The sequence below is a fragment of the Homo sapiens genome, chromosome 3 (genome assembly GCF_000001405.40).
Source record: "Homo sapiens chromosome 3, GRCh38.p14 Primary Assembly".
In the NCBI taxonomy this organism is placed as follows: domain Eukaryota; kingdom Metazoa; phylum Chordata; class Mammalia; order Primates; family Hominidae; genus Homo; species Homo sapiens.
Genome location: NC_000003.12, coordinates 42905184 through 42924233, shown reverse-complemented (window position 1 = coordinate 42924233; position 19050 = coordinate 42905184). Strand labels below are relative to the sequence as shown.

The following is a 19050-nucleotide window of genomic DNA, read 5'->3' as shown; positions in this document are numbered from 1 at the left end:
ACCCGTTAACATGGGTGAAAGCCACACTGACACCCATGGGCAGCACCCTTTCGTGGTCAGTGGAACTTAGGGATATACGGATGGAAGAAGTAAAGAAGGCCCTTGTTTCTTCTCTTCCTCACACACCCCAGGCATTTGCTAGGAAGAGAAAGGAAACAGGGACACCTGCTTCCCTCTTTCTAAATGAGAAGCCATTCATCTTCAATCTAGTTGGCTTGGAATTGAACTTGGGGGATGGGGACCCAGAAGCCTGGCATGCCAGCAAAAGGGTAAAAGTTTTTTTTACCAGTCAGGCCTTTGGCCTCCCTCTCCCTGTGCAAACCAGTAAAAGGAATGCTAAGGATCACTGTTTATATTCTCTGTAAAGTTTTGTTTAATGAAAAAGGATTTATGAGGTTAATCTTAAGCTGTAACCAACCTGGTGTGCTTTGCATGCCTTAACTGAGACTTGTTGGTTTGACCTGTGAAGTTACTTTCGATAAAGATCAAAAGCCAGAAATATTGGCTGCTTGGTATGGCTAAAGTCAGGTAATAAGGAATTTAAAAGGACTTTATTAAAGAGCGCTCAGCTTAATTAAAAGTGGATATCCAAGGCCGGGCACGATGGCTCATGACTGTAATCCCAACACTTTGGGAGGCCAAGGTGGGCAGATCACCTGAGGTCAGGAGTTCGAGACCATCCTGGCCAACATGGTGAAACCCCATCTCTACTAAGAATACAAAAATTAGCTGGGCCTGTAATCCCAGCTGCTCCAGAGACTGAGGCAGGAGAATTACTTGAACCCAGGAGGCGGAGATTGCAGTGAGCCAAAATCGTGCCACTGCACTCCAGCCTGGGCAATAAGAGGGAAACTCCATCTTAAAAAAACAAAAGTGGATATCTGAGATCTAGGTATATTTAAAAGGCCTTTATGTTTTTCTCTTCTTGGATCTTGTTTTGCTGGAAAAAGATTTTTTTTTCTGTCAACTGAATTATTTTTCTCCATTTTGCCTTGCCACCCTTAATGCATGCATGAGAGGCCCTAAGATAATCTCTAAAAGCCTGAACTCCTTGGGAAAAATGGAAAGGCGACACAGATTCCATTTTGGGAGAAACCTCTGTTTTCCTCATGAACCCAAGGAATTAAAAGCAGATAGATCCCTCTCAAAATCTGTTTTTGTCTTCTAGCCATACCTGTTTATTGGGCCCTGGAAACAGCATGATTTCCTGGCCATGCTCTTAAAGGGTCCACCCAGAGGCCAATAATCCAATTAGGAGATTGGTAAACAAAAAATCTTATAGCTACTGATCTTCTTCTGTATATGTAGTTATATATGTGTTGTGTTTGATGTCTATTAAAAAGAGCTCTAATTAACTGGCATAAAGAAAAATAAGTGCTTAGATCAAATATATTTTGAAGGAAAAGTAAGAGCTGTAATGCCTCCTAGTTCACGTGACTTTAATCTTTGAGAAATAAAAACAGTCTTAAAGATTATTGGTAAAATATAAATGTCTTCAAAATGTAAACATGTAGTCTAAATTATGCAGTTTAGATACTAGGTTTGCTAAATGTTTTAAGGTTATGAAGTACTTCTTTGGCTTTTGAGAACTGTTCCACTTGCCTGCTTTACAGCTTGGTAAGGCCTGGGGACATATGGAATTAACCACTCCTCTCACTATACTGAAAAGAGTCAAGCCTGACCTGCCCCTAGAACATAAGTAAAACAACTTACCAGGTTTTACATTAAAGTTAAGAATTGCTAAGAGTTCGCAACCTACTCATCTGACGAAGGGCTAATATCCAGAATCTACAATGAACTCAAACAAATTTACAAGAAAAAAACAACCCCATCAAAAAGTGGGCGAAGGACATGAACAGACACTTCTCAAAAGAAGACATTTATGCAGCCAAAAGACACATGAAAAAATGCTCACAATCACTGGCTATCAGAGAAATGCAAATCAAAACCACAATGAGATACCATCTCACACCAGTTAGAATGGCAATCATTAAAAAGTCAGGAAACAACAGGTGCTGGAGAGGATGTGGAGAAATAGGAACATTTTTACACTGTTGGTGGGACTGTAAACTAGTTCAACCATTGTGGAAGTCGGTGTGGCGATTCCTCAGGGATCTAGAACTAGAAATACCATTTGACCCAGCCATCCCATTACTGAGTATATACCCAAAGGACTATAAATCATGCTGCTATAAAGACACATGCACACGTATGTTTATTGCGGCACTATTCACAATAGCAAAGACTTGGAACCAACCCAAATGTCCAACAATGATAGACTGGATTAAGAAAATGTGGCACATATACACCACGGAATACTATGCAGCCATAAAAAATGATGAGTTCATGTCCTTTGTAGGGACATGGATGAAATTGGAAATCATCATTCTCAGTAAACTATCACAAGAACAAAAAACCAAACACCGCATATTCTCACTCATAGGTGGGAATTGAACAATGAGAACACAAGGACACAGGAAGGGGAACATCACACTCTGCGGACTGTTGTGGGGTGGGGGGAGGGGGGAGGGATAGCTTTAGGAGATATAACTAATGCTAAATGACGAGTTAATGGGTGCAGCACACCAGCATGGCACATGTATACATATGTAACTAACCTGCACATTGTGCACATGTACCCTAAAACTTAAAGTATAATAATAATAAAATAAAATAAAATAAAAAAATATGAAAAAAAAAGAATTGCTAAGAGTTATCATTATAACATGTAATTGAGACTCCTGAAAATAGATTTACATGCAAGGTGTGTAAGAACAGTAAAATGTGTTTTTAGTAAAAGATTATAAGGTATGGAAATGTAAATTTTTGCCTAGGGTTAAAGGATTGTTTTAAATTAGATAAGATAAAGCTAAAGGTTTAAACAAGTTATGGAAGGTTTCTAAAAGTTAATCTTGCAAAAGAAATTCTGTGTGTGAACATTAAATTCAAGAGGGTATTTATGGTTTTTCTGTACAATTGAGCATTGAAATAAAAGCACAACAAGGTTTTCTTAAGGCACTGATCTGCTCTTCAGCAAATTGTGTAAAAGGTTATAAAAGGTTTATAAGAATCTTACCTCATGGTCAAACTGGTTAAGATTTGATAGAATGGCCTGTAAGATTTCATTTTTTAAATTGGGGCTGACATTAATAGTAAACAAATGCAAGGGTAAAATTTGGCTTTCTCTCTCTTGAACAGATTTTCATGTGATAGTAAAGGCTAAGGAAAAGTTTTTGCTTTTTCAAATTTTTGAGTTATCATTTTGGCAAAAATAATTACTTACAGTAACCTGGAATTCTATTTTTTTTTCTTGAAGATGGAGTCTTGCTCTGTCACCCAGGCTGGAGTGTAGTGCCACCATCTTGGCTCACTGCAACCTCCACCTCCTAGGTTCAAGCAATTCTCGTGCCTCGGTCCCCCGAGTAGCTGGGATTACAGGTGCCTTCATCACGTCCAGCTAGTTTTTGTATTTTCAGTAGAGATGGAGTTTCACCATGTTGGCCAGGCTGCTTTCAAACTCCTGACCTCAGGTGATCCACACACCTCGACCTCCCAAAGTCCTGGGAATACAGGCGTGAGCCACCATGCAGGGCCTGGAATTCTATTTCATAACATCAAGTGTTTTAAACATCTAATATATGTAACAGGCTTCCCAAAATCAAATTTCAGCTTCAAGGTTGTCTTTCTTACCCCTTGCTGTTGGATGCTACAGAGGGCCCCTGGAGCATCCAGAAGAGAGGTAAACAGGATTATTTGACATGTACACGGAATTGCCAAAATGATGTTTAATCTTCATATTATATTTTAGTGAATATTAATATGTTCCAAAATTGTGTGGGATGTCTACAGTTCTAATGTCTGAGTATATGCTATCAATATCATAATTAAGGTTATTATGATATTGTATCAATATCATAATATCATAATTAAGGTTATTATGTTATTGTAAACCACAGAGATAACCAAATTTTCTTTGTCAATGTTTTTAACTGTATCTACCCTGGACATTTTGTCATTCATACACAATTGTCTTATTTTGATCCTCTTTGATAAAGGATCCTTTGATAAAGGATGATTTATAATCAGCCATAAGGCTTTGACAGGTGCTCTCAAATGCAAGTTTCTGATAACCTTAGAGATCGTGACATTGGAATAAAGGAAAACATGCAGGACTCATGAAGAGCTGAAATGTTCATGAATATTAAACAGAACAAGAGTTAACAGAATGTACTGAACTAAAAGAAAACTGAAGTAATCTTTTTTAAAAGTTTTTGCTTGAAATATTGCTGTTCCTTGTTTTGTTTTCAGAATTAAGGAAATTTATTTTGAGCCATTTACAGCCTTTAATAATTGAGTAAGGTATACTCCTGTGATCAAAATTTGGAGCATATTTGTTTCTCTCCTACTTGCTTCTTCAGAATTTGGAAACTAGTTGCAAGTATTCTTAATTTATAGCAGTATATTTTTTTTGCATCAGTGCAATAAGAATCACTTTCTTTTGCAACAGGACACAATTGGAGAAACTGGTTGTTTTACCAAGGCTTTGATTGGAAGGGTAGCTTCCCTTTTAGGAATCAAGCTTGACTTAACAGAGCCGATAAAAGCCCCTTGGGAAAACTGACTTCATACCTTGTCTACACAGTCCCCATACAGGTTTCCTAACCTGCAGTAAGTAAGGAATGTCATATTCTAAAAGGCCCAGGAACCCCATATTCTTGGGACCCCAAGAAGAGAGGAATTCACCCAACTCATAGGTATTTGAGGGTACAAACTCATGGCTGGGCTCAGCTTTAAAAGTCCTAAGATTCCTTGCAGAACAGAATTCCATCAAAACCAATTTAAAAAGCCTATGTAAACGTAATTATTCTTGCTGCACTTTATGCAAATAATCAGACCAAATACAAGACTAAAGTTTATTTTGCAAACAACTCAGTCCTATCATGATTTATTTTTAACAAAAATGAGAACTGGAGAGAAATTATGTTTCAAGACTTATATATTTGTCATTAGATTTTAGACTCATTCGTTGTTTTTAAGTTTTTGCCCACATTTTAAACTAACACTGCTTATTCCTGTGAACCAACCAGCAATCTCTGGCTGCAGCTCAGAAGCAGCAAAAGGGATGAGTAATGTAAAAATCTGGATCAATATTCTAGTTCTGGGCAATTACCCTGCAAATCCTGCCAGATGATTAGACTAAATAAGGTGCCCATAACCTGGAGGTTTCTTTTTTGGGAAAATAAGACCAAGGGAGCTAACGAAAGCCAAGCCCCAAACACCCCAATCTTAGCAGGCATAACTATAGCTACCAGTTATCTGGGTGTGTCAGCAGCCTTAGGATTTTTTTTAGCTGTCCTTACCATCCCCGCTTTGTTTCATTTTGATTGTCTTCTAATAACCTGGTTTGTCTCTTCTCACCTTCAGGCCATTGAACTCTGAATGTTCATGCAATTGGAACCTCAAATGATGGCCACCTTTTACCAGGGACCCTTAGATAGGCCTCTGAGGGAGATCTCACTGCTATTTTCCCAAAACAGTGCCCCCATCAGCAGGAACCAGTTAAGATCGATCACTACCCTTATCCTTATCCTTATTCTAAGTTAGATGTACTTCTTTAGAGGGGGGAATGATAGAATCAGGAGACAGCCAAATGCTGCCCAGGTCATTGTGCACAGGGGGATTGCCTAAACATGCCCATGATGAAAAATTCCGTTCCTTAACACATACACAGTAAGGGAAATAATGTGGAGTGGCTCAGACTAAGGGCCTGCCTGCACACTGGGAGAACGGGGTGTAGCCACCAGGAATTCATGCAGGGGGAGAAGACTAGGCTCTTCAGCTCATGTGTGGTGGCCTGGTATTCAGTTTAGTGAGATGGAAAACCTGCATGCAGGACCCCTCTTTTTGTTGAGAGTTTTCCTTTTCACTTAATAAATTCTGCCCTCCTCACTTTTCAATGTGTCCCTGTGACTAATTTTTCCTGGTCATGAGACAAGAACCCAGATTTTAGCTGAACTAAGGAGCAAAAATTCCTGCACTAATGGTATGACTTAAAGCATCACTTAGTAGTATGCATGAAATTAACCTTAGGTCATGAGAGCCACCTATTTATTATTTTCATTTTTTTGAGATGGAGTTTCACTCTTGTTGCCCAGGCTGGAGTGCAATGGCACAATCTCGGCTCACTGCAACCTCCACCTCCCAGATTCAAGCAATTCTCCTGCCTCAGCCTCCTGAGTAGCTGAGATTACTGGCATGTGCCACCACACCTGGCTAATTTTGTATTTTTAGTAGAGACGGGGTCTCTCTATGTTGGTCAGGCTGGTCTTGAACTCCCAATCTCAGGTGATCTGCCCACCTTGGCCTCCCAAAGTGATGGGATTACAGGCGTAAGCCACTGCACCCAGCAAAAGCCACCTATTTAGATGCTCAACTTCCAAGCAACTGAGATGAGATAAAACTGAGAAGCTTATGAGACTACTGAGCAAGAGGAAAAGGTGACACTGAGGAGCTGTATGAGAAAACAGTGATTTCAAACACAAAACAGTATTAGTGTGGCTAAGTTGCAAATAACAGAAAACTCAACTCTAACTCGTTTGACAGATGTTTATTGGCTCACATAGCTGAAAAGTTCTGAGGTAGCTCTGCTTCAGGTAAAGCTTGGTCTAGTGGCTCAAAAGATGTCACCAAGGACCTAGTTTCTCTCTGTTTAGTCACTGTTTTCTTTGGTATTGGCTTTATCCTTAGGCTCCATATGGTAGCACCTGGAAGCTTGAGAATCTCCCCTTTTAACAGAAAAAAAAAGTTGCTATAATTCTAGGTCTCACATTTTCCTATGTGCCACACAGAGGACAGATAATATCTCCTCTGGTAGCTCTCGATGAAGAAAAGCCTCTCTTTTCCAGAAGAGCCAGTATCTCCTCATATCACAATGGCTCTGTGGCCAAGGGGATGGGATAAACTGATTGACACAAGCCAAACAGGGTCCACTCATGAAGATGGTGGTGGTGCCAAACCACATAGCTGAGAAAGGATAGCTTCCCAAAGAATACCCGGGTAACTGTTCCCAGAGAGAAGGGGAAGAGATGATGGAAACCAATAAAAGATGACCACGTCTAAAAATGTTGTTTTATAAAACTCCTGATTTCAAGTAGAATTAGTTAATTCTATAATTCTTTACTTTCCTGTGTAGACGCTACATGTTCCTCGTGTTTGTTTTATCTTTGGTCCTGGACCTAGGGAGGGCATTTCTGGCTCTGATGCCAATACTGGATTATGTGAAAACTTTTCAACTATTGACTGGATGAAGCTATCTAACAAAGCATTAACCACCACCAGAAAGTGACCATTTCTCCCTCCCTTGGCAGTGGCCTCACAGCTTATCAGAATGTAGACTATCATGGTAGTGAGGGATGGACAGACTGGAAGAGGATTTAGGATAGGAAGCAATGAGAGGGCTGGAACTATATAAATTTTTATGAAAAAAAATCTCCAGTTGAGTTTACATATTCCCAATCCCAGAATGATATCTCATAAAACAAAGGCAATGAGGTCTCTTAAGACCTGGATTGGCCAGGCGTGGTAGCTGAGGCCTGTAATCCCAGCACTTTGGGAGGCCGAGACAGGTGGATCACAAGGTCAGGAGATCGAGACCAGCCTGGCTAACATGGTGAAACCCCGTCTCTACTAAAAATAAAAAATATTAGCCAGGCATGGTGGCGGGCACCTGTAGTCCCAGCTACTTGGGAGGCTGAGGCAGAAGAATGGCATGAACCCAGGAGGTGGAGCTTGCAGTGAGCTGAGATAGCACCACTGCACTCCAGCCAGAGCAACAGAGTGAGACTCTGTCTAAAAAAAAAAAAAAAAAAAAAAAGACCTGGATTACCCTCTGCTGTTTCCCTAAATTACTTTGGTGGCCTCAAAAGGAAAGCAACTTCTGAAGAAAAGGTCTTAGAGTTCACAATTTAACTGCAATGTTGCTTCCATCAAATAAGGTTTTCAGTGAGACAGAATTATGAAAAGCAATACTAATAAACACTTGTATACAAAGAGTATCTACAGAGATACACAACCAGTAGCAGTGATTGCCTCTGGGGAGAACTCAAGAGATAGGAATGACAAGGAAATTTACTTTTCACTGAACACCCTTTTCAACTATTTCAATTCTTTTTTATCATGAGCATGTTATATCTAGTCAAAGATTAATGTTTCAGGATTTGAAAAACATAAAAGAAATGTACTGTTGGTCCTCAGAGTCATTTAGCTGGGGTTAAGATTAAAAGACATGAGACTATTAGAAAAATATAAGATGGCACATAATTAAATACTAACTTGGGTGGTACTGATTACAAGTAGAAGAGGAAGAGAGATCTTCTTAGTTGAAGGAGCTAGATCTGAGTGATGAAGGGAAACTAAAAGCACAGGAAAATAAGCAAATAAAAATGGGCAGAGACATAAATATGTACAATTAAGTAAAGAACAGTAAACTCTGCAGTCAGATAGGCCTGGCTCCAATTTCAACTCTATAACTTACTAACTGAGCAACCCTGAATGAGTTTTATAACCTCTTTCAACTCAGATTTCTCATTTGTAAAATGGGGAGAAGAGCACCTACCTTAATAGGATTGTTATGCAAATTAATGTATGTAAAGTGGTTAGCACCTGATACAGAGTAGCTGCCCAACTAAATGATGCCTTGTTAAAACATCATAGAACAGAGGGACCAGTCTTGCTAGAGTACATGGTAAATGTTCAAAAGGGCAAGATAATACTGGCTATTTAAGTTAAGGGTTACAGCAAATTGTGAATGGTCATCTCATTTTGTCTCTAGGGTTCCTGCAGCATAAGAATTATAAACAAGTATCACCATTATGCACTCTCTAATGTTCAAGAAGGTGAGAGATCTGACAGTTATAGGGTTTGTCTCTAGCATGGCGCCTCTGGTGCTTAATTAAGACAGAATTCTGACTGAAGGCCTTCCCACAGTCATTACATTTATAGGGTCTTTCCCCAGTATGGATTCTTTGATGTCGAATAAGATGTGCCTTGCAAAAGAAGCTTTTCCCACAGTCAGTACATTCATGAGGCTTGTCCCCAGTGTGGACCCTCTGGTGCTGAGAAAGATCTGAGTTCCACATGAAGCCCTTCCCACAGTCCTTACATTCGTAAGGCTTCTCCCCAGTGTGCATTCTCTGATGTCGAAGAAGGGCTGGGTTTCGAGTAAAGCTTTTCCCACATTCCTTACATGTGTATGGTTTCTCACCAGTGTGGATCCGTTGATGTTGCGTAAGGCTTGTGTTCTGACTAAAGCCCTTCCCACATTCCTTACATTCAAAGGGTTTCTCTCCAGTATGTATTCTCTGGTGACGAATCAGGTTTGACTTCCAAACAAAGGCCTTAGCACATTCTTGACATTCATAGGGTTTCACCCCACTGTGAATTCTCTGATGTGCAATGCAATGTGATCGAAAACTGAAAGCCTTCCCACATTCCTTACATCCATAGACCTTCTCTCCATTATGAGTTTTCTGGTGTTGATCAAAGTCCTCATTTTGATCAAAACACTTGCCGCATTCCTCACATATATAGAATATTTGCTCATTTAGAATTTTGTGATGTATACCAAGGAGGTTATTGACATCAGTATTCCCTGAACTCTCTTCTACTGAGATCATCTCATCCTTGACAATCACTTCTATAATATCATTTGTAGAACTTTCCATACGTCCCCCATTGAGGTAACCAGGCCATCTCCCTAACCTGCTTTTCTCTTCACAGGTTTTCCCAAACCATAATTCCTGGGATCCACACCACTGGGGTCCACTTGATAGGACCATGAGGTCCTGTGCTTCCTCAATAATTTCCTCCTTCAGAATAAAATCTTCTTTCTTCCTCTTCAACACACCCTCTGAAAAAAGAAATTGGAGCTTCAAATGTCATCATTATCCATGACACAGCGACTAAGGTCACCAAGTGGTATTAATACGTCCACTTCTCTCCAAGTGCCACCCATGTCTCAGTGGCCCTGTCCCAGCTGAAAATGGCAAAAACAAGGCTAATACACAGAAAGAAACCAAAAGTAAAGACAGCAACTAGATAGAATCCCTGCGGGCTATGATTCCTGGCACCAAACCAAGGACCAGGGTAGGCTCTCAGAAAACAGGTGAATTGAATCTAAGGAAAACAAAGTCAGAATTCCTCCTAGGTAGCTGAGTACAGTTTATACCATGAGAAGAACAGGCCAGGACTTAGGGCAGAGGACCTGTTCAGAAATAAGGAATCCTTAGTGGTATACCTGAGAACCTGGGCTTGTCACATGCAGCAGACAGTAGCAAGAATGAGCTTCCTCATACTTTTCAACACTAAAAGGAAGTATAGTCTTCTCTTTCAATCCAAGCACCAAGTTCACCATGAAACCATGGGAAGTGCTTTCTCAAACTACTCCAGGCAGAACTCGGAAAAGACTCCCTCCTCTTTGTTCTCATAGTGTCTTATTCACATTCTGTTACAGTTTCATCATTTTTCTGTAATTATACATTTATGTATCATGTCCCATGAGACTGTGAGTCCTTCCAGGATAAGGGCCATATATGACTTGATTTTTTTTATCTCTAACAACTAACACAATGAGTAAAATACAGCATCTACATTAAAAATATTGGGTGATCATAGCAGCTAGATGGGGCAGGCCATCTGTTCAGTTTAAGTCTAACGCAAAAGACCCATCCTAATTTAATTAATTTAATTAATTGAGCTTGTCCTAATGAAAGTTGGAAGCTTAGGGTTTAAGTTTTCTCTTAATTGGTTGATTTAAGGATCTGGTCCCCATATTTGTTTAGAACATGAATGGCAAAATGGACTTTTACATCTTATAAAAGAAAGATAGGAAAAGATGTGACTGAGAGAAGAATGCTCATTTCCCTCTCACTTACCCGGACAAATCAGGCTTGGACCCTCTCCTTGCAGTTTCAGGTTTAATGGCTCTTCCACCTGCTCAGGATGGGAAATCCCAGCAGGCTTTAGAAATGGATATCCTGCCAGGGTCAAGATACAAATAAGGCTGACTCAGTCAGAAGAGTGAGGCCCATCAGGAAAAGAGCAGACATGGAAGTGGTAGGGAGAGAATAAAGGTGGGTGAAAAGATTGGTAACATAGATAAGCAGAAATTTGATGGTACAGAATAATAAGGATAGGCTGGGCGTGGTGGCTCACACCTGTATTCCCAGCACTTTGGGAGGCCGAGGTGGGTGGATCACCTGAGGTCAGGAGTTCAAGACTAGCCTGGCCAACATGGTGAAACCCCATCTCCATTAAAAATACAAAAAAAATTAGCCAAGCATGGTGGCACACACCTGTGGTCACAGCTCCTCAGGAGGCTGAGGCAGGAGAATCGCTTGAACCCGGGAGGCAGAGGTTGCAGTGAGCCGAGACTGTGTCACTGCTCTCCAGCCTGGGCGACAGAGTGAGACTGTGTCTCAAAAAATATATATATATATATTTATATATATAAAAAATATATATATATATTTATATATATAAAATATATATATATTTATATATATAAAAAATATATATATATATTTATATATATATAAAATATATAAATATATATTTTATAGAAAAATATTTGTATTTTATATAAATATATTTATATATAAAATATGTATTTATATATATATTTATATTAAATATATAAATATATGTATTTATATATTAAATATACAAATATATAATATATAAATATATATTAAATATATAAAAATATATATTATAACATATAATATATAATATACAAAAATATTATATATATATTAATATATATAATATATAATATATAAATATATATTATATATATTTAATATATCATATATAATATATAATTATATATGATATATATCATATATAATAGAGAGATGGACTATATATATCATATATTTTATATATAATTATATTTATATATAATATATAAGATATATATTATATTTTTATTTATATATTTATATATATTTTATTTATATGATTATATATTTTATATATACATATATTTTTAATTTATATATTTATATATTTTTATATTTTTATATATTTATATAAAGGATAGAAAATACTGGAACAGAGAAGTTGTAATTCCATCAGTTCCCAAAGATATGAAACATATCACTCACTTTAAAACGTCAAGAAGAAATAGAAAAGATGAAGGCCTCTTCTTCACCTATCCCTAGGAGGTGAAATCAAATTCACATAGAATAGAATCAGGATAGGATGGAATTGCAAATAGTTATTCATGAGGACTTCCTGTCTAGCCAGGCTATTCTGGGAAACCGTAATCTCCTAGTTTCCTTCCTATCCATTTATTGCTTTCCATTCCACAAAGATTCAATGGATGGGGTCTCTCTATGGCATCCATAAGAAATGGACTCACACCCTCACTCAGCCATTTCCAAAAGTCACTTCTTACTCAATAACAGACACCTCTGTTCACAGAGATCTACTGTAATACACCTTACTTCTGCTTTCGCTAGAACTGTCTCTTTGTAACCTTCATCCAAAACCTCCTAAGAAACAGATCAATTCTACACCTTCAAATGACAACCTTTTCTGTTGCCAAATCCAGGGACTATGTATCCTCTGAGTACTAACTTCTGTAAGACAAAAGTGGACTTTGAGTAGGGACATGTATGTGCCAAGGAAGTCAGCTGCACGTCAGAGAGTTAGAATTTTGCTCAAGGAGTAACTTAGCTGTTGGTTTTCTACCTAAAGCAAAGAAAAGCAAAGATGAGAAATTCCCTTAGGTGGTGAGGAGAGGAAGCACTAAGAATGCAGAAGACGCTGTGGTGGTCTCCCCATACCCCTTCCACTACTCCCCACTGTAAAGTAGCTATGCCCTTTGTAGGGGGCTGGAGTGGGGAGTTGGGTATCCCAACTCCACTTCCTAGGGTAGGCTCTGACTTGGCTAAGCTAAGCAGGTTAATCCCATCCCACTCACTACATGAGAGACTGATTCAGAGATTGGCAATTCAGACCAAGTCAATCAGTGCACAGTAGTTACCTTGCCACAGGATTGATTTAGAGCTGGCATATGACTTAAGGTAGTCCATTAGAGTATACTTGGCACTTTGATTCACAATGTTTAAAGCCTAAGGAAGGCCTGCCAGGTTTCTTCACCTAGGTATGAAGCAGCAGAGTCCTGTTACTACCACCAATCACCTTACAACCAAAAGGGGAGCCAGACTGTAGACAAAGCCAACACATACGGAGACAGAGCAGAGAATGTAGTTCTGATCAAACTATACCTGCAGCCCACTCTACCTCAGACTTCCCAGTTACATGAAACAACAAATTATTTTTGTTTAAGCCAGTTTGAATTGGGTTTTAATACCTGCAATCAAGAGTATTCTAATATGAAAAGACAGAACAAGGAACTGTGAGAATGAGGAAATTTGGAGCACAGCTCAAGTCACACTGCGCCCACATAAGAGCCCTATGGGAAGATGAAATGGGGCCAAGGAGGCAACCAGGAAACACAGTTATCACTAGGAAACTAAGAGTAAGAAAGTCCTGTTGGGCCTAAAGTAATCCCAGGGTTTTCCCCTGAGGAATAGGAACTATCTGGCTGAGGGTTGAGAGTTCTTGGTTTCTAATGATAAAGATGGCCATTATATCCCAAGCTGGAAGACTGTAAACAGGCCAGGAAGTAGAAAGGGCACCCAAGATCAGAGTAAACAGGAAACTCATGGGGCAAAGATACATGGTAGCCATAATATCAGCGATGGGGAAGAGGCAAAACAGGTTAATGAAGATGGCACACAGAGGAGCCAGGATGAATAAAACAAGAACTCAAGAAGATATAAAAGCTCTCCCTCTCCCCTTCCCCCTCCCCCTCTCCCTCTTTGCACGGTCTCCCTCTAAAGCCCAGCCAAGGCTGGACTGTACTGCCGCCATCTTGACTCACTGCAACCTCCCTGCCTGATTTTCCTGCCTCAGCCTGCCGAGTGCCTGGGATTGCAGGCGGGCGCCGCCACGCCTGACTGGTTTTCGTATTTTTTGGTGGAGACGGGGTTTGGCCGTGTTGGCCGGGCTGGTCTCCAGCTCCTGACTGCGAGTGATCTGCCAGCCTTGGCCTCCCGAGGTGCCAGGATTGCAGACAGAGTCTCGATCACTCAGTGCTCAATGTTGCCCAGGCTGGAGTGCAGTGGCGTGATCTCGGCTCGCTACAACCTCCACCTCCCAGCCACCTTCCTTGGCCTCCCAAAGTGCCGAGATTGCAGCGTCTGCCCGGCCGCCACCCCGTCTAGGAAGTGAGGAGCGTCTCTGCCCGGCCGCCCATCCTCTGGGATGTGGGGAGCGCCTCTGCCCCGCCGGCCCATCTGAGATGTGAAGAGCGCCTCTGCCTGGCCGCGACCCCGTCTGGGAACTGAGGAGTGTCTCTGCCCCGCCGCCACGCCATCTGGGAGGTGAGGAGCGTCTCTGACTGGCCGCCCCGTCTGAGATGTGAGGAGCTCCTCCGCCCGGCCAGCCGCCCCCTCCGGGAGGTGGGGGGCAGCCCCCGCCCAGCCGCTGCCCCGTCTGGGAGGTGGGGGGGCACCTCTGCCCGGCCGCCCCATCTGGGAAGTGAGGAGCCCCTCTGCTAGGCCGCCACCCCGTCTGGGAGGTGTACCCAACAGCTCATTGAGAACGGGCCATGATGACGATGGCGGTTTTGTCGAATAGAAAAGGGGGAAATGTGGGGAAAAGAAAGAGAGATCAGATTGTTACTGTGTCTGTGTAGAAAGAAGTAGACATAGGAGACTCCATTTTGTTCTGTACTAAGAAAAATTCTTCTGCCTTGGGATGCTGTTAATCTATAACCTTACCCCCAACCCCGTGCTCTCTGAAACATGTGCTGTGTCCACTAACGGTTAAATGGATTAAGGGCGGTGCAAGATGTGCTTTGTTAAACAGATGCTTGAAGGAAGCATGCTCGTTAAGAGTCATCACCACTCCCTAATCTCAAGTACCCAGGGACACAAACACTACGGAAGGCGGCAGGGCCCTCTGCCTAGGAAAACCAGAGACCTTTGTTCACATGTTTATCTGCTGACCTTCCCTCCACTATTGTCCTATGACCCTGCCAAATCCCCCTCTCTGAGAAACACCCAAGAATAATCAATAAATACTAAAAAAAATTTTTTTAAAAAAAGAAGACATAAAACTATGGGAACACAGAGAAGAAATGCAATCCCACTAGTGTCTACAACACTAGATTAAAAAAACACCTATCTATGACATTTTAAAGATCATGACAAGAAAACTGGTCAGATGACCGGCACGTGTGCCCTCACTCACCTGAGGAGATGCCCCTTGGGGCCTCTCCATCCAGAGCTCCCCGAGGAACCGAGCACCAGGGTGTTTCCCCTCGCTCCAGCTGGGAAATCAGAGCCGGTTTGGGAAATGGAAATGCTGCTTAAAAGGAAAGAAATGGGACAGGCAGGTGAGTGGCATGGCACACAGTAATCCCAAGGCTCCTCCCAGGCCAGTGTCTTCAGGGGTAGGAGGGGAAAAAAACGGAAATAACTAGGAAGAACAAGAAAAGGAATTCCAGGGGAAAGGACAAGAGAGGGGCCAGGAGACTTACAAAGGTCAGGAAGTTGACAGACGACTCAGTAACTGTTTGAGTCAGCAAATGGATGATTTCACTCATTGAGGAATTGAGTCCTCAATTCTTACCTGTCCTCTCCCTCTTAGAGCTCTCAAGTTCAGACATCCTCATGAGGATGCTTGGAATTAGGCTGGATCTTGCAAACCGAGAGGGGAGGGAACTGAAGGCTCAGTGGAGCACCATGAATTTGCTCTCTTCTCACTATACCCACAACACAAGGGTAGGGGTTTGGCACCTCTCACTCTGGAGCAAGGAAGTCCTGTATAAGGCCCAAACTGATACCAGGACTTCCTACTTTCCAACGGCTGCTGAGGTTAGGTCATTAAAAATCCAAGAGCCTGAAGCTGCCATTGAGCTGAGGGTTATCAACAACTCCTGAGCCTTTGAGAAAAAAGGAGCCAGCAAACTCTCAAGGGTGGAGGCAGGGCCCAAAGGGAGAGACCCTTACCCAGGGAAGCCACAGCCCCATAATTCTCCAGCATCACATCCCTGTACAGGGCTCTCTGAGCAGGGCCCAGGCCGATCCATTCGTTCTCAGAGAAGTAGACGGCCACATCCTCGAAGGTCACTGACTCCTGAAACAACATGTGTTTAAATGCCCTAGGACAACCCCAGGACCAGGCCAAGAGGAAGGGGAGACAGGGCATCAAAAGGTACTGTGGGGGTGCCTGTGGGGATTCTGGATTCTGAATGTCTACAGGAACTCTATCAGCAGAAGATTTTTGCCTCCTATGTACAAAGAGACAAGGCATCAGCCATCAATTTTCTCATGTCTCTTCATCTTTATTTCAGCAAACATTTTCTCCTCTTTTTCATGAGTCTGCAAAAGTTTTCTTGTTTCATCCTTATACCCCAAACCACATCTGTGCTCTAGGTCCCATCCTCTCTCCACAATGTGTCCTCCTTCAGAGGTCACCCACCCTTGATAACAACTATCATTTATTAAGCCTGTGCCAAGCACTTGACATATATTCTTTGTTATGTCTCATAGCCTACTATCAGATCCGTTTTTTAGAAGAGGAAACTGAGACTCGGAGGGATTAACTTCCCCCAAAGTTCCAGAACTGAGACAGAACCCAGGCCTGTTTGACTCTGGCTCTTGCCTGTTATGCCACACTGCCTTCCGTCCCCATTCCTGCCATCCCTGCTGCCCCTGTATAGGACTCTTCCTCCTTTGTCCTCCCCAGTCACTGCCACCAGCCACAGAGGCAGCTAGGGCTCCTCAGAACATTCAGGTTGCTCTGAACACTGTACTCAACAGGGCAGATCCTCGTTGTGACTTTACTCCCTGCACCCCCACCACCCGCAACACTCTCACAAAGATCCCACCTCACTTGCTTACCCACGTCCCAATCTCCATGTCCCCATTTTCTATATCTCTAGGAGTCTCAGCTCCTGCACCTTCTTTCTCTCATCCTCTTAAGAAACAAATACTGCTGACCTCCAGCCGTTGGGACTTCCCGTAATTCTCAGCCACTGCCTCCTTCAGGGTCTCAGTCTCCACACTGTGGAGGAGCCCATTCTGGTCCACTGCACTTCAGTCCTTGCGCACTAGAAAGTCTCCACAGCTATTTATCCAGCACTCCAGGGCTCCAAGGCTTTGGCTGGCTCAACTTTGTCTGCCTAATAGAGTCCACATTCCTCTGCACTACAGACAATTCCATTCACTACTCACAGACCCAGCTTTCCTGGCCAGGATCATCAGCCACCACCACTCTCATCTCCGATCCTCTCACCATTGCATTGGGAAACCAAACTCTTTCCTCACCCTGTTCTGTGTCCTTGCACCTGCGGCTACTCTTGCCTGAATATCCAGTTCTTCCTTCCTGCTCCTGCATTGCAAATTCCTTTTCAACCTAATACCCAGCTCAAACATAACCAGCTCTGTAAAGGCAGCTCTGAAATTCTGGCCATTCATCGCCCCCGACAGCACTCTGTGCGCTCTGCCCCAGCAGTCGGCTCAACCCCGTGCCGCTGCACGTCTGCTCTCCTTGAGGCTCAGGTCCAGGGGTGTCGACTCCGCTGTGCTGCCTGTCCCTCGAGGCCCCTCACTCTGGGTTGTACCCCCATTTCCCAGCCGCCGCACCACCCCGTCTCCGGGCCTAGAACCCAGGGCAGGGCCAAGACTGCTTCCAGGCTCCGGCCCCGCACTCACCCGGCGCGCCCGGGGCAGCGCGGGCTGTCCCGGGAGCAGCTCGAGGACAAGGCCGAGGCGTGTCCCGCTCGCCAGCGCCACGGCCGCCATAGCCCAGGTCGCCCTCTGGGAAAGCGAGGGCGCGCCAGACCGGACCAGAGGCTGTTGGGGTCGCGGAAGAGCGCTCTGCACCTGGGCAGGCCTGACACGGCTACCCTGCGCCCTGCAGCCACCGGAGTAAGACCCCGACTCCACTCCCTGCCCGCCCCACGCCCGACTCCCCGTGCTCCACACCCGCCAGGCCCCAGCATCCGGGAGGCCGGGGCTCGGGCCGCTCCGGTTGCTCTAGGACGGCGGAGGGCGCCGCATCTCTGTGGTCCTCCTTTCTCGCTCGGGGAGGGAGGGGAGAGCGGTCCGGTTCTCCTGGAGACACGGACGATCCCAGGGACCGCTACCGGGGTAGGGGTGCAGGCGGCTGGGGAGGAATCCTTCCCCTGCGCTCTAGGCCACCCCTTCCTCTCCAGCTCGCTGCACCCTAGGTGGACAGATATTTGCTGATAGGAGGTAGCGGGTACTTCACTAGACTGCACCTGCTCTTTTATCTCTCCTTTTACCAGTTTTTGCATTCCCAGAGCAGACCTGTATTTTATGTCTTTTAACATTCTCATCTTTGTGCCTCTAACATGCGCCCGATGTCTAGCACCTCCTGGGGAGTTATTTCTTTAACTGCCAAGGAATATTTGTAGAATTGTCCACGAAAAGTCAAACTGTAAAATATTTGAAGGGATTTATCCTGAGCCAAATATGAGTGACCATGGCCCGTGCCACAGCCCCAGGAGATCCTGAGAACATGTGCCCAACGTGGTCGGGCTACAACTTGGTTTTACACATTTTAGGAAGACATAAGACATCAATTAATACATGTAAGATGTACGTTGGTTCGGTATGGAAAGGTGGGACAACTGGAAGAGGAGGCTTTCAGGACATAGGTGGATTCAAAGATTTTCTGAGTGGCAATTGGTTGAAAGAGTTAAGTTATTGTATAAAGACTTAGAATCAATAGAAAGGGATGTCTCAGTTAAGATAAGGGCTTGTGGAGACCAAAGTTTTATCATGCAGATGGAGCCTGTAGCAGGCTTCAGAGAATAGACTGCAAATGTTTCTCATCATTATCACACTACCGGATAGTCTGTGAGACTTAAAGAGGCTGTTCTATCAGTCTTAAGGTCTGTGTTGATGTTAATGCTGGTCAGCTGGTCCTGAATTTCAAAAGGTAGGG

General features: G+C 43.0%; 1 protein-coding gene across 2 annotated transcripts; it reads right to left on the bottom strand.

Moving 5' to 3' along the window:
- Positions 1 to 4899: 4899 nt before the first annotated feature.
- ZNF662 (zinc finger protein 662) lies at positions 4900 to 18092 on the bottom strand. 2 transcript variants are annotated; one of them, NM_207404.4, is made up of 5 exons: positions 18066 to 18092; positions 16086 to 16212; positions 15325 to 15441; positions 10932 to 11033; positions 4900 to 9907 (listed from the first exon to the last, which is right to left on the bottom strand). In NM_207404.4, the coding sequence occupies exons 2-5, from the start codon at positions 16117 to 16119 to the stop codon at positions 8880 to 8882; spliced, it is 1281 nt and encodes a 426-aa protein (NP_997287.2). In that variant the 5' UTR covers positions 16120 to 16212; positions 18066 to 18092; the 3' UTR covers positions 4900 to 8879. The 2 variants fall into 2 exon arrangements, with proteins under 2 accessions (NP_997287.2, NP_001128128.1); NM_001134656.2 differs by lacking the exon at positions 10932 to 11033 and having other exon boundaries at positions 15325 to 15438; positions 17793 to 18092.
- Positions 18093 to 19050: the final 958 nt, after the last annotated feature.

Bases quoted from the DNA above. Each gene is read 5' to 3' on its own strand.
- ZNF662 (NM_001134656.2), bottom strand. From the start codon at position 17,882: ATGGCGGCCGTGGCGCTGGCGAGCGGGACACGCCTCGGCCTTGTCCTC. The intron at 16,213-17,792 runs GTGAGTGCGGGG...ATGTTGTTTCAG, and splicing joins CGCTGCCCCGGGCGCGCCGG to GAGTCAGTGACCTTCGAGGA. The intron at 15,439-16,085 runs GTAAGGGTCTCT...CCTTTTAAGCAG, and splicing joins TGGGGCTGTGGCTTCCCTGG to CATTTCCATTTCCCAAACCG.